Genomic DNA, 15583 nt, shown 5'->3' with positions numbered 1-15583 from the left:
ACACAATGAACAAGTTTGCATAAAAAGTAACACAAAATAATCTAAAAGTTGCCATCATCTCCAGAATTTTTCCAGAGAAAATGACCAAGAAGTTGACGACAGGTGACTAAGAATATAAACTGTACACTGACCTTCACTCACTAAAAAGACACATAAAATAACAGGGTGAAATTCCTCTGAGTTGTAATATCAATATGGACAAGAAATATTATTCCAAATTTCAAATCCACAGAGGTCATTTTATTATTTTGCAACCTTTAACATTCACACTTAAAAATAAAAGATTCAGCAGGGCACAGTGGCTCACGCCTATAATCCCAGCACTTTGGGAGGCAGAGGAGGGCAGATCACGAGGTCAGGAGTTCGAGACCAGCCTGGCCAACATGGTGAAACCACGTCTGTACTAAAAATACAAAAATTAGCTGGGTGTAGTGGCAGGCACCTGCAATCCCAGCTACTAGGGAGGCTGAGGCAGGAGCATTGCTTGCACCCAAGAGGCGGAGGTTGCAGTGAGCCAAGATCACGCCACTGCACTCCAGCCTGGGTGACAGAGCAAGATTCCATTTCATAAATAAATAAATAAATCTGTGTTGTGCTATATCATAGAACATTAAATTTAAAATTCCTCACCACTAACTCTTAATAATTTAATTTCTAAGATGCATTTTCTAGCAAATATTAAATGTGTCACACTCTGTGTAAGAATTTAATAAGATTTTCCGTTTACAAACAGAAAAACAATGCTAAGTTATTTAATCCTCTGATCTATGGACAGTGTATGCGTTTTATCTTAATTAACTGATCTGAAAGTTATATTGATAAGCAAACTCTCTAACTAAAACCAATTTTTGAGTGCATTAAAAATACCAACTTTCTCATCAAAACCTACAAAGTACCATGTAAAATGACATGGCATGAAGACAATGAGAAAACTGTAGCAATCACGTAGAAAAAAGGGAGAGGGGCTGTGATGAATACACAGAAGACACATAATAAGACAAACAAAACTAAAGATAATTAGGAAATAAAAGAAACAGAGTTTCTCTTTAGGTTCAGCAATATTTAGCTTCGCAGCATGAAAACAATTGTTATCTCCACGGGAAGAATCAATCTTATTTCTTCACTATTGATATTTTCCCTCTCCGACTTGAACTTACAAACTAACTCTAGCAGGAATATTTATGGCTTATCATGGAGCATCTGCTACACAGCAAGCACTGTCATGTTTGTTCGCCACATTTATATATTAAAAAACATCATGACTTATGAAGCATCCCGAGTTCTTATCTGAACAAATTGCCTCAATAAATATATTTATGTCAATTATAATGAGAACAAAAAAAGTTAAAAAATACAGGCTTATGTAGAATTCTCCAATTAAAAGAAAAAATCAAATGTCCTAATAAAATACACAATTTTGGAAATACATCTAAAAATTGTTCAGTGTGCATTAAATTTTATAAAAATCGTTATTAGTCATGACCAGCTCACGTAATGAATACCTCATAAACTATAAAAGAAAAAATCGTAAGAGACAAGAAAATTATAGGTCTAGCATGAGTACTAGGCAAGGAAAAACAGAAATTTTTCATGGGGAGATTCTGAACCCTAAGTCAGAAGATTTTACAGTAATAAATTTAAAAAAAAAGCAGAGTATAGATTTGCTTTCAGCATTTTTGAGGTTTTCAGTTTCAGTTAATAAGTCACCTTATTAAAATATTTGTTTTGTTACAATATTGCTCTATTCTTCTGAAAATAGGTACAGACTCATCCTCATATATACTCTATAATTTTCTTGCACCTAAGGTTTATTTAGAGTAACATACGTGCATAGCTAATTTTATGTAAATTAAAACTAAAATTCTGTATGTTTGCAGGCAGAGAGAGACCAAATGTTCAAAGAAAAATACATAACAAATTTTTTTAAATGTTTAAGCAGAACTCAGAATTTTAAGACTCAGGGTTTTATTTATACTTGTAAATAATTTTTATTTCACTCATAAAAATGACCCTGTAGTCAGTAGCATTTAATTGTACATTTTAAAGTAAGTAAAAGTGTAGAATGGGTTAGTAATCCAAAAGATAAATGCTAGAGTTGATGGAAACTTCATTTGCCCTTATCTGATTAATACATAAATTATATGACTGTATCAAAAAATGCCATATAATGACATAAATATAAACAGATACTATGTACACACAAAAATTGAGAAAAATAAGTTTAAATTATAAATAAAAAATTTAACCAACGGGAACGATATTCATTAATTTATTTGCAGTTTGAAGCCACTGGCAAAATAAATTATTGGAGATGTTAGTCCATTATGTTATCAAATAGTCTATTGTTACCATCTTTGACCTACACCCTTGAGTAAGGTAGGATAGGTAAAAGTTAGTGGCATAATAATACTTCATTGAATGCACAGTGGTCTTATGTTAAAATTTTTAATTAAAAAATTAAGTTTATAATAATCTAAATCTTTAAAACTGTGATTGGACTCTGGTGAAGACTCCAAGATGGCGATCGCCACCTCAGATACCCCGACTCAGCATTTCCAGGTTCACCTTTCCTGTTCCCACCACCCCGACTAACGCGCATGCCCACTAGGACGTGTCACACTCAGAAGCGCGAAACTCAACCGACCCCGCCCCTACCCCGCCCACTCCTCACCCAGCATCCATAAAAGTGCGCTGCACCTTTGGCACAGTGCGACTTCCCTGGCCCTCCCGCTGCGGACCAGTGAACCTCACCTGAGAGCTCAATAAAGAAGATTTTTGCCCTCTTTGTCTCGCCTCTCCGCCTTATTGATCCATGGTGCCCTTCCATTGCCTTTCATTGGTGCCGAAACACGGGAGGGGACACCTCCTAAGCCCCCCAGAGGCTCGGGAAGACTCCCCTCCTGGTCGGATCAGGCCTCTCCCTCAGTCAGGTCAGGCTTCTCCTCCACGGCCATCGGTCCATTTCGTCCGGTTACTTGCCGCCAGGTCACAGCTGCTGCAGCTACTCCAGTCCAATTCGGCAGACGCTGGGTGAGTACCCCTCCTTTTTCCTTTTGTCCATTCCTCCCTGGCCGAGAGTCATGCGCACACCCAGGGAGAGTTTCCTTCCTCAAGGGAAGGCCAGTCCGGGTCACCAGGAGACCCAAGTTTACTTCCCCAGGGGAAGTCCAAATCGGCATTGACGACTCAGAGACGTCTGTGTCTGAAGTAGCCGATCCGAGGCTCCAGGAGCTGCGTGGTCTGAGTGACCCCAGAAGGACGCTTCTGCTGTCCCTCAGACGGCTGCCATAAAGGGAAGAGGATGGGGTCCACCCAGTCCAAAATCACGCAAAACACCCCCTTAGGGTGCCTCCTGCGCAACCTCCCAACTTTACAACTCGACCAAGATTTAAAACGAAAGCAACTAATTTTCTTCTGCACAGTTGCCTGGCCGCAATATACCTTAGACAACCAATCTCGCTGGCCCCCCGAAGGCACACTCAACTTCAATATCCTAAACGACCTTACCAATTTTTGTCAGAGGCGAGGCAAATAGTCAAAAATCAAATTTGTTCAAAGGTTCTGGGACCTCCGCTCTCGTCAGACCGCTGCCGCCAAGTGTTTTCGCTGGCACAAGTCCCTCTGGCTAGCCTTCCCCTTGAAGTCTGACCAGCCTCTCTTGCCATTAATCTTGTCCACGGCCCCCATCTTAGTCTCTCCGCCGCCATCTCCTTCTGCACCACTGCCATCTTACTACCTGCTTCCTCACCGCCGCCATCTTACTTCCTTTTTTCTCTGCCACCATTTTAGTTCTTCTGCCGCCATTTGGCCGCCATTTTAATTCCTGTTAGTTCCCATTTGTTCTTTTAACCCTGCCCACCTAACTCCTTGGCTTCCATCTTACCCCCATTCTTATTTCCACCTCCCTGTAGTGCCATACCAGTCCACTACATCTACAACTCCTAACACATTCGCTGCGGGCAGTGATATCCGCTAATCCTGGATGAGGCAGCGGAGGGCCCCCAAACCCCTATCCAGGACTTAGTAAAGCTGGCGTTCAAAGTTTTTAATTCCCGAGAGGAGGCGGCTGAGGTACAACGACAGGCAAGACTGAAACAAAAAGTTCAGCTCCAAACCCAAGCCCTGGCAGCTGCCCTGCAACCGGCATTCCCTAAGAGCCCCAGCAGGAGAGGTAGAGGTACGATCTCCCAGGCCCCGTCTGGCACCTGCTTCAAGTGCGGCAACTCAGGACACGGCCAGCCGGTGCCCTAGCCAACAGCAACCGTCCTGCCTGCCTTGCAACTGTTTCAAGTGTGGCAATCCAGGTCATTGGGCAAAACAGTGCCCAAACCCCAAGCCGCCAACACGCCCGTGCCCTAACTGCCAACAAATGGGGCACTGGAAGTCAGACTGCCCCGGCCTCGGAGCGGCCGCTGTGTCTCCACATGGCGACCCCTCCTCGGATGGCGAAGGTGCCCTCCAGCTCCTCCAACTGGATGACGACTGAAGAGGCCCAGACTTGGGAACCCCTCTCACCCTTGCCGAGCCCAGGGTAATGCTTCAGGTAGCGGGTAAGTCCATTTCCTTTTTACTAGACACAAGGGCTACCTACTCTGTTTTGCCATCTTTTAGCAGACCCAGCCGCCCCTCCTCAATCTCTGTTATAAGGATTGATGGCATTCCCTCCACCTACCGCCAGACGCCTTCACTGCCCTTCCGCCTAGACCACTATATAACTTTCTTGAACCCATAATCTACCATCCTTCCCTTTATTCCTTACTAAAGCAAATACATCAACTTATCTTCTTACTTTAGTAAACACTTTCTCAGGTTAGGTTAAAGCCTGCCCTACCACTCATAAAACAGCAGAGGTAGTAGCTTCAACCCTCATCGAACAGATAACCCCAAGATTTGGCCTGCTTTTATCTCCAAAATAGTCAAACAGGTGACAACCACACTTGACGTTAACTGGAAGTTACACACTCCATACCATCCGCAGTCTTCTGGAAAAGTGGAACGCGCCAACAGCCTTGTCAAACAACACCTAATCAAATTGGCTCTCGAGACGCGCCAATCTTGGGTAACCTTACTTCCCTTTGCCCTCGCGTGGCTCTGGGCAGCACCCCAAAGCCCCACAGGCCTTAGCCCCTTTGAACTCCTATACAGGCGCCCCTTCCTCTTTCAAGAGCTCCCTGTGAATACCCCACCTCTTGGCACGTACCTGCCCTACCTCACCCTGTTAAGGGAGCTGCTAAGAGAACATGCCAACTGCAGCCTTCCAAAGCCCGGACCGCTCAGCCCAGACAGTCCAGCCATAATAACCCCAGAAGATCAGGTACTAGTAAAAGACCTCCAGGCAAGAGGTCTCTCCCCCCGTGGAAAGGCCCCTACATGGTAATTCTTACAACACCGACGGCAGCTAAACTTACAGGCCTTCCCTCCTGGTACCATATTTCCCATCTTAAGAGGGCACCTACACAACATCAGGCCACTTGGACTGTCACTTCCCTCCCCCCAACCAAACTGAAACTCTTTAAATCAAATACCGCATGAATTCTCCATGTGACAGGCTCCAACAATTTATTCAGGTTCTTCTCGAGGAAAGCTGGTCATTCCCTACTTTTGCTAACACCTTTCGCTGGCCTGAAAATCTGTTGTCCTATATAGACGAACTGGTGTGGCAAGGCTCCCTCCAGAACTTTCACCAACATGAAGTTCGCTTTGACAAGCCCCCTCTCAGACTCCCTCTCACTGGGTTTTTTCCCCTCACTGAGAATTGGAGTTCCACACAGGCAGTCTCCTAGACTACTAGCCATGGCAGCATGCCCGCCAGCAGGGTGCCAGGCACCCATAGCTTTCCTAGGTCTAAAATTCTCTTCCCTAGGCCAGGCTAGAAAAAACCCTGCACTTTGCTTCCTGTATGATCAAAGTAACTCCAAATGCAATACCAGCTGGGTCAAAGAAAATGTAGGCTGTCCGTGGCACTGGTGCAATATCCATGAGGCATTAATTCGTACTGAAAAAGGATCTGACCCAATGTTCTATGTCAGTACCTCCACTGGAGGATGGGACGGCTTTAACGGATTTAACCTCCAAATCTCTGACCCTTAGGACCCCCGCTGGGCCTCTGGTGTAGATGGAGGACTATATGAGCACAGAACTTTTATGTATCCAGTAGCTAAGATCCGCATTGCCAGGACCCTTAAAACCACTGTCACAGGGTTATCCGACTTAGCCTCCTCAATCCAGTCAGCCGAGAAAGAGCTTGCCAGCCAGCTTCAACCGGCAGCTGACCAGGCCAAGTCCTCCCCCTTCTCGTGGTTTTTAATTTCAGAAGGTGCACAATTGCTCCAATCCACAGGGGTACAAAACCTCTCCCACTGCTTCCTCTGTGCAGCCCTCGGAAGACCTCCCTTAGTAGCAGTTCCTCTCCCTACCCCCTTTAATTATACAAGAAATTCATCCACCCCTATACCACCGGTCCCAAAAGGACAGGTCCCACTATTCTCAGACCCTACAAGACACAAGTTCCCGTTCTGTTACTCTACCCCAAATGCCTCTTGGTGTAACCAGACCAGGATGCTTACCAGCGCCCTGGCACCACCCGGAGGCTACTTCTGGTGTAACTCCACACTAACTAAAGTTCTTAACTCAACTGGTAATCACACCTTGTGCTTACTCGTCTCTCTCATCCCTAGCCTGACCCTATATAGTCAGGACGAACTTAGCCATCTGCTAGCCTGGACCGAGCCAAGGCTGCAAAATAAAAGCAAACGGGCTATTTTCCTACCCTTAGTACTAGGCATCTCCTTAGCCTCCTCCTTAGTGGCATCAGGGCTAGGAAAAGGAGCCCTCACCCACTCAATCCAAACATCTCAAGATCTGTCTACTCGCCTGCAGTTGGCCATTGAGGCATCGGCCGAGTCCCTGGCCTCCCTACAGCGACAGATCACTTCGGTAGCACAGGTCGCAGCACAGAACAGGCGGGCCTTAGACTTGCTTACAGCAGAAAAAGGAGGGACATGTTTATTCTTACAGGAAGAATGCTGCTATTATCTCAACGTGTCAGGGGTAGTTGAGACCAATTTACAAACTTTAAAAAAAAAAGATCCAAGAGGAGTTAAAACATTCCTAGGACCCTCTCCACCCTGGTCCTTCTTGGTGGTTTTCACCTGTGGTTCAACAGATGCTCCCTTTCCTTATCCCAATTATAATTCTCTGTATAATAATGTGTTTTGCCCCAATCCTAGTACAGTTTCTCCGCCAGCGGATACAAGAAATCACCAGGGTCACTTTCAACCAGATGTTACTTCACCCCTACGTCCAACTGCCAACCTCTGATTTAGGCCCTCTCCCCAGTGACACCCCTTAACAGCAGGAAGTAGCCAGATGATTTCGTCGCCCCTTTTCTATAACCAAAAATAGGCTGGACTGATTGGACTCCAGTGAAGACTCCAAGATGGCGATCACCACCTCAGATACCCCGACTCAGCATTTCCGGGTTCACCTTTCCTGTTCCCGTCACCCCGACTAACGCGCATGCCCACTAGGGCGTGTCACACTCAGAAGTGTGAAACTCAACCGACCCCGCCCCTACCCTGCCCACTCCTCACCCAGCATCCATAAAAGCGCGCTGCACCTTTGGCACAGTGCGACTTCCCTGGCCCTCCCCCTGTGGACCAGTGAACCTCGCCCGAGAGCTCAATAAAGATTTTTGCCCTCTTTGTCTCGCCTCTTGGCCTTATTGATCCACGGTGCCCTTCCATTGCCTTTCAAACTGTACTGCATTTTATTACATAAAAGTACAATTAGTAAAATTATATACTAATTAATTTTAACTAAAATTATTTTGTTTGGAGTATAACGCAGAATACTACTCTGAACACTTACCTCATACATCACTCAATATTATAAATTAAACACAAAGAGCCTCTCCACTTAGACTTTTGTCATGCATCCTACATTGTAATGTCTTTACTCTTCCATAGAAAAATTCAAAAACAATATTGACATAACAAAAAAGAATCTCTCATACCTTTGATGCAGCAACAATTGATCACATGCTTTCACTAGTGAATGCAATAGGAATGAAGAGCATGAAGTAATTTGAGTTGAATTACATTATTCACTTTTCATAAATTCTGCAATTTTTTTCAAGGAAAAAAGTATACTTTGAATGTAATTGTAACTCTGCAAAAATATTTCTACTTCTTTTAAAGTTATGTACAAATAATTTATCTACCCACTTTAGTTTTGGGTTATTTTATATACTCAGCACATTTACTTAGTGCAATGTTTGAAGTGTCAGTGCCTTAGATATTTTTACTGTGAATTCTCTGATACTTACGTAGCCTTATTTTTGATTTTTTTTATATTTACTGCATGTGGAAAAATATAGTTTAGTATGCATCCCCTGGTGTTTTCTAAGATGTAGTTTTTGAAAAATTTTTGAAATGTATTACATTTGTAGTTTTTCTCCGATATAAATTCCCTGATGTTGAACGAAGTTTGAGCAACTGCTTCGGATACAAAATGTGTACAATAAGATCTGTGATACAAGTAAGGCAGGCACTACAACCCTCTTTATGTTTCTAATGTTTGTCTTCAAAATAAAAACTCTTTTTTTACTTTAAAGGCTTATATTGGCTGGGAACAGTGGCTCACACCTGTTATTCCAGCACTTTGGGAGGCAGAGGTGTATGGATCATTTCAAGTCAGGAGTTCGAGATGAGCCTGGCCAACACAGTAAAATCCTGTCTCTACTAAAAAATACAAAACTTAGCCGGGCGTGATGGTACATGCCTGTAGTCCCAGCTATTCTGGAGGCCCAGGCAGGAGAATTGCTTGAACCTGGAAGGCAGAGGTTACGGTAAACCAAGATTGCACCAGTGCACTCCAGCCTGGGAGAGAGTATTACGTAGTCTCATTTAAAAAAAACAAAACAAAACAAACAAACAAACAAACCACACACTAAAACAAAACCTTATGCTGAGTTTTGACAGTAATTGCATTTATAATGCTTTTATTAAGTACTAACTCTCTAATGTTGAATAAGATGTAAGCACATATTAATGGCTTTTCTACATTCTTTATATCAGTACAACATTTTCTGAAGTATAAATGCTTTCCTGTGCAATAAGGTATAGGAATTAAAGTTTTGCCATATTCTTCACACTTCTGGGAGTTTCTGCCAGTATGAATTATCTTACCTACAATCAAGTGTGACAACCATTTAAAGGCTTTGTCACATTCTTCACATTTTTATAATTTCTTACCAGTATGATTTCCTTTATGTTTAGAAAAATTTGAAGGTTTTGTTAAAATCATTTTCACATTTTTCTGGTTTGTAACATTTTCAGTATTAATTTTGTTTAGTAAGATTTGAGAATTGGTTAAAAGCATTACCACATTCTTCATATTTGTGGGGTTTCTCTCCAGTATGAATTATATTATGTGCAGAAAGGGTTGAAGACTTGTTAAAGAATTTACCAAATTTTTCACATTTGTGGTGTTTCTCTCCTGCATGAATTTTAGGTGTAAGAAGTTTTGAGGATTGTAAGTTTTACCACATTCTTTGAATTTCCAAGGTTTTGCTCCAGTATAAATTATCTTATGTATAGTAAGTGTTGAGACTTGGTTAAAAGCTTTGCCACATTCTTCACATTTGTAGAGTTTCTCTCCAGTTTGAATTTTCTTATGCATAGTAAAGTTCGAGAACTAGTTAAAACAACTGCCACATCGTTCACATTTGTAGGGTTTCATTCAAGTGTGAATCATCTTATGTATAGCAAGTTGTGAGAACTGGTTAAAAGATATGCCACATTCTTCACATTTGTAGGGTTTCTCTCTAGTATGAATCTTCTTGTGTTTAGTAAGGTTTGAGAGTTGGCTAAAACCTTTGCCACATTCCTCACATTTGTAAGGTTTCTCTCCAGTATGAATGATCTTATGTGCAGTAAGAGTTGAGGACTTCTTAAAGACCTTGCCACACTGTTCACATTTGTAGGGTTTCTCTTTACTATGAATTTTCTTATGTCTCATAAGGTGTGAGGACTGGTTAAAAGCTTTGCCACATTCTTCACATTTGTAGGGTTTTTCTCCACTGTGAATTATCTTATGTGTAATAAGAGTTGAGGACCAGTTAAAGGCTTTTCCGCATTCTCCACATTTGTGGGGTTTCTCCCCAGTATGAATTTTCTTATGTGTACTAAGGATTGAGTATCGGTGAAAAGCTTTTCCACATTCTTTACATTTGTAGGGTTTTTCTCCAGTATGAATTAACTTATGTTCAGTGAGCTTTGCGGACTGGTTAAAAGCTCTGCCACATTCTTCACATTTGTGGGGTTTCTCTCCGCTATGAATTATCTTATGTGTAATAAGGGTTGAAAACTGGTTAAAGGCTTTGCCACATTCTTCACATTTGTAGGCTTTCTCTCTAGTGTAAATTTTCTTATGTTCAGTAAGTTGTTAAGATAGGTTAAAAGCTTTGCCACATTCCTCACATTTGTATGGTTCCTCTCCAGTATAAATTATCTGATGTTTAGTAAGGGTTGGGGACTGCTTAAAGACCTTGCCACATTGTTCACATTTGTAGGGTTTCTCTTCAGTATGAATTATCTTATGTCTAGTAAGGTGTGAGGACTGTTTAAAGGCTTTGCCACAGTGTGCACATTTATAGGGTTTTTCTCCAGTACGAATTATCTTATGTTTAGTAAGGATTGAGGATTGGTGAAAGGCTTTTCCACATACTTCACATTTGTAGGGTTTTTCTCCAGTATGAATTTTCTTAGGTTTAGAAAGGTTTGTGGACCAGTTAAAGGTTTTTCCACACTCTTCACATTTGTAGAAATTCTCTCTAGTATGAATTTTTTTATGTTGAGTTAGGCGTGAAAGCATGCAAAGTGATTTGTCACATTCTTTACATCTGAAATGTTTATTTTCAGTATGTCTTATCTTGTGTCTATTTGAATTTGAAAATTTATGCATGACTTTTACATATTTATTACATTGAAATATTTTGCTTGTGGTAATTTTCAAACATTGGTTAAGTCCATTAAAACCTCCTTGGTGTCCCTTACACTCATCCACACTTTTACAGCCTTTTCTTAACTGTAAATTCTTATGTCCATATTTTCCATATCTGCTCAGTGTCACTTTTTGGAAAGAATCTTTTATGTTCTGCTCTAGCCAAAGGTCTTGGGCAAAACGAGAACACAGAGCTGAAAGAAACAAAAAATAACAAATTACTCCACCTGCTAGACTCAGATGAATATACTTTACAAATCTAACCTATAAAATCATACAAACTACATAAGCAAGATGGCATAGCAAAATACCACAGGTTCTAATTCCTTTATAGACATATAAATGTAACAAAAACATACCAAAACATATCTGTGGAGAATAAATGAGTTAAGTGTGTGCAGTGCCCCAGGTTTGCACAATGCAAAGAGCCACACAGAAGAGAGAGAAAAGTCTGTTACATTTACCCAACACAGCTCTTTCTGTTCCCCGATATAACATAGTGCCTCTAGAAGTAAACTGCCAACTCTTGGTTTCTTTTTCAAAAGGCAAGAGAAATAATAACACATACATCTTTATTTCTGGCTTCTAGGTGCTTTTGCAGACACTGGTTTCTGTTTCCCATGACATAAAGTGCTGAAACAAATGGCAGGATACTTTGGAATGACAAAATGTTGAGTCCACTGAGATCAAAGGTAAATGCTACAGCTGCAAAGAGACAGGGAACAGTTGTAGCAAGTGACTACTGACTATTAAGATGAAACAAGAATGAACTAAAAAAACCCTAAAAAATTTCAGACCTGACACATCCTAAGAACATGTCTGAAAGACTCTCAGAATCTTTAGCCAGACAAATGGTCTCAGACTTTGCCAGGACAAAGTTGCATTATAAACACTGACAGGTAGCTTTTTTTAATGTTCAAATTTCAATTGAAGATTACAATGTATACAAAATATTAGGGCAACATAGCCCTATCAATTATTATAAAATTTTCAGAAAGCAAGCATTAAAAAATGAAGATACAGGCTGGGCATGGTGGCTCATGTCTGTAATTCCAGCACTTTGGGAGGATGAGGTGGGGAGATGACCTGATGTCAGGAGTTCAAGACCAGCCTGGCCAATGCAGAGCAAGATTCTGCCTCAAAAACAAAAACAAAACAAAACAAAAAAAGATGCACAAATATATTTTAAAAATTTAAAATAAATTGAATAATACTCCACTAGTGTAACAGGAACACAGACAACTATTAAAAATCAGAAAAATGGGAATAACAACAAAAACAATGAAAGATATTAAAAAACAAATTGTGGAGGGAAAAAATACAAAAAATAACTGAAATACTGTAAGATAAAATGATGTAAAAATGAAAAGGCTCAACAAACTAGAATACACACAAAGATATTTATATAACAAGCACATATATAAGCACAATTTAAAAAGTCACAGACAAGAGAATCTTGGGAGCTGCAAGATGAAAATAATGTGTCATTTATAAGCATAATCTTATGAGATAACCAGTTAATTTTTCATGAAAGTTTTGCAGGCCAGAAGAAAACTGTGTGACATAATCAAAGTCCTGAAGAAAACAGCTGTCAAGTGAGAATAATACCAGCAGCAAAACTGTCCTGCCAAATAAAAAGACCTTCCAAAATAACCAAATCCTGAAAAAGTATATTGGCACTGCCATTTGTGCTACATATCAAAGATGCTGAAAGGAGTTTCTTCCACTAAAAATGACACAATGCAAGAAAGCAACACATAATCATATGAAAATACATAAATTTCTGGGAAAGACATGCATATACACAAAATGGAATTCCTTACCATTATAACATAACTTTCTAGGGAAGACATGCACATACACAAAAATGGAATTCCTTAGCATTATCATAATAGTGCAGAAAACATTTCTAATTATTCTCTAAAATGTGAAAGATAAAAGCATAAAAATTTTTATAAACATCTGCTAACATACCACATAGAAAAATACAATTAGCAACATCACCAACAAAATTGAGAACAAATGTAATGAGAAAGAATTGTTGAATGCAACTGAAGTTTATTTTTTACCAGGTTAAAATATATTAATAATATTACACAAGCTGCATCTTAAGTTAAAGACTGTCATTTTATAAAACATACTTTAAAGTCAAAACGCCAAAGAGATTTTTAAAAATTACAAAATAATAGATTCATTCACTGGGAACCTATGACAAATTTCTACATATGTGTGTGTGTGGTGTGTGTGTGTTTGAGTTTGTGTATCTCACATTAAGTTTCCAAATATGTAAAGTACATATTGAAAGAATGGAGGAAACACATAGAGAGCAATATAATTACAGTAGAGTATTTTAATACTTACTTGCTCTAATAAAAATAAGACAAAATATTAGTAAGGAAAGAGAGGGCTTAAAGGCACTATAAAACAATTATATTTAACAGAGGTATAGAGAATACTCCTAACAACATTAATGATACACACTCTCCTCAATAGCTCATACAACATTCTCCTCAATAGAACACTTGGTAGGCCAAAAAAGAAGTCTTAACAAATTTTTTACAACTGAATTTGTATAGATCACTTTCTATGACAAACATGGAGTAAGAGTATACAACAATAGAAAACACCAAAAATTCACAAATATATAGATAGTAAACAACACACTCTTCAGCATACTCCTGTTCAAAGGTTGAAATAATAAGTGTTGTAAATATATCCATACTGCTCAATGTAATATACAGATTTAATGCAATGTTTTCCAAATTTCTCATTGCAGTTTTCAAGAAATAGAAACAGCAACACCAAAGGTATATAAAATGTCGAGAGACAATAAAGTACTGAACAAACTTCAAAAAAAAAAAGGAACAATGTCGGAGGCAGAACAGTTTCTGATTTCAAAACATATTACAAAGCTACAGAATTAAAACAATTTGGTATGAGTACAAATGTTAAAAAGTAGACTAATAAAATAGAATGCAACATATATATACTTTCAAATATACAGTCATATGAAGAGTCATTTTTATACTCATAATTTTTGCAGAATTGTTAGTGAAAGCCAATAGGTAAAAGCAATGCAAATTTCGGTCAACAAATCATTCAGTAAATATAATTTAAAATATCACTCATTTTTCAAAAAGCAGGAAATATTGTAACAACTATAAGCATAAATCTTCATAACATGCAAAATGAAATGGGCCAGCCATGGAAAAGATTGTATTAAGATATATAAAGCAGTTACACTCTTAGAATCAGGAAACAAAATAGTGTTTGAAAACTGCCATGAAATGGAAAAAAATGGTAGTTGTTTAATGTGTAGTGAGATGTAGCTTTGCAAGGTAAAAACATCCTAGGGATATGTTGCATAACATTAAGATGACTAAACTGAATATTTAAAAATACTTGATTGTAAATTTTTTATGTGTTTTTGACAGGTAAAAATAAACAATACCTAAAAAAAAACCAGAATTATGATAGTTTTTAAATTATCTTCAAATCCAAAAGTTTTTTCTCTCAAACAAACATAATATAGGTTCACAAATAAATGTTGACATTAGGAGAATTTTTTTGACTTTTTACCTAGACAAGATTAAACAACCATTCACAATAAACCAACACCACAAATAAATAAGTTATAAAAAACACAAGGATAATATTCATAGAGGCAAACAGAGAATTATATCGGCAGTAGACATATGGTTCATATTTGACTTTGCTCCACACTGTCTTAAATTGTACAGAGATAAATATTGTCATACACAATATAAACATCAAAATACAACTGATTGGTGTGAGGTGGCATACCCTAAAATATCTAACTCACAGGTATAAAATTGCAGAAGAAAATTAAAACATGAAAGGTAAAACTTACTAGACACCATCAAGTACATCAATATATTCATGAAAGAAATCTTAGAAGAATATTGAAAAAAAAGTAATCCAGAGCTTTCTTGAAGACAAAAATGTCTGAAAACTTTCCAAATTTTGATGTAATAAAAAAAATCTAACTAATAATACTTGATTCACAATTGACTTCAAAAACAAGATAAAAATAAAGACTCTCCAAGATAAAAGGTGAGGATGTTTATTACCACTAGAACACTTCTACAAAAAAATGTTACATGGTTAATCCCAGCACTTTGGGAGGCCGAGGCGGATGGATCACGAGGTCAGGAGATCGAGACCATCCTGGCTAACACGGTGAAACCCTGTCTCTACTAAAAATACAAAAAATTAGCCAGGCGTGGTGGCGGGTGCCTGTAGTCCCAGCTACTCGGGAGGCTGAGGCAGAATGGCGTGAACCCGGGAGGCAGAGCTTGCAGTGAACCGAGATTGTGCCACTGCACTCGAGCCTGGGTGACAGAGTGAGACTCTGTCTTAAAAAAAAAAAAAAGTTTCATGGTGGCCAAGCACAGTGGCTCATCCCTGTAATTCTACAGCTTTAGGAGGCCAAGGCAGTCAGATCACTTCAAACCAGGAGTTGAAGATCAGCCTGAGCAACATAGTAAGACACTGCATATTAAAAAAAAAAAATGCTAAAATGAGTCCCTTATGCTGAAAAATGATGGACACCATTATA

At 39.3% G+C, this 15583-nt stretch overlaps 1 protein-coding gene across 26 annotated transcripts in view; it reads right to left on the bottom strand.

The window, feature by feature from the left end:
* The window catches only part of ZNF138 (zinc finger protein 138), a 66396-nt gene that overhangs the window by 18175 nt on the left and 32638 nt on the right, over positions 1 to 15583 (bottom strand). For 12 of the 26 annotated variants that reach the window (NR_160271.1, NR_073391.2, NM_001367572.1 and 9 more), the window contains one exon: positions 8969 to 11198. The exons of 3 other annotated variants lie outside the window; for them this stretch is intronic. Coding sequence is in view for 17 of the 23 variants with exons in the window: in NM_001367572.1 (NP_001354501.1) it covers positions 10447 to 11198 (752 nt within the window). In the remaining 6 variants the exon portion in view is untranslated. Of the gene's footprint in view, positions 1 to 8968; positions 11199 to 11572; positions 11710 to 15583 lie in introns of those variants that run through there. 11 more of the 26 variants (NR_160270.1, NM_001367574.1, NM_001367573.1 and 8 more) reach the window with 2 other exon arrangements.

The sequence above is a fragment of the Homo sapiens genome, chromosome 7 (genome assembly GCF_000001405.40).
Source record: "Homo sapiens chromosome 7, GRCh38.p14 Primary Assembly".
Classification (NCBI taxonomy): Eukaryota; Metazoa; Chordata; class Mammalia; order Primates; family Hominidae; genus Homo; species Homo sapiens.
The sequence above is the reverse complement of the archived record's forward strand: the minus strand, read 5'-3'. Positions and strand labels throughout refer to the sequence as shown.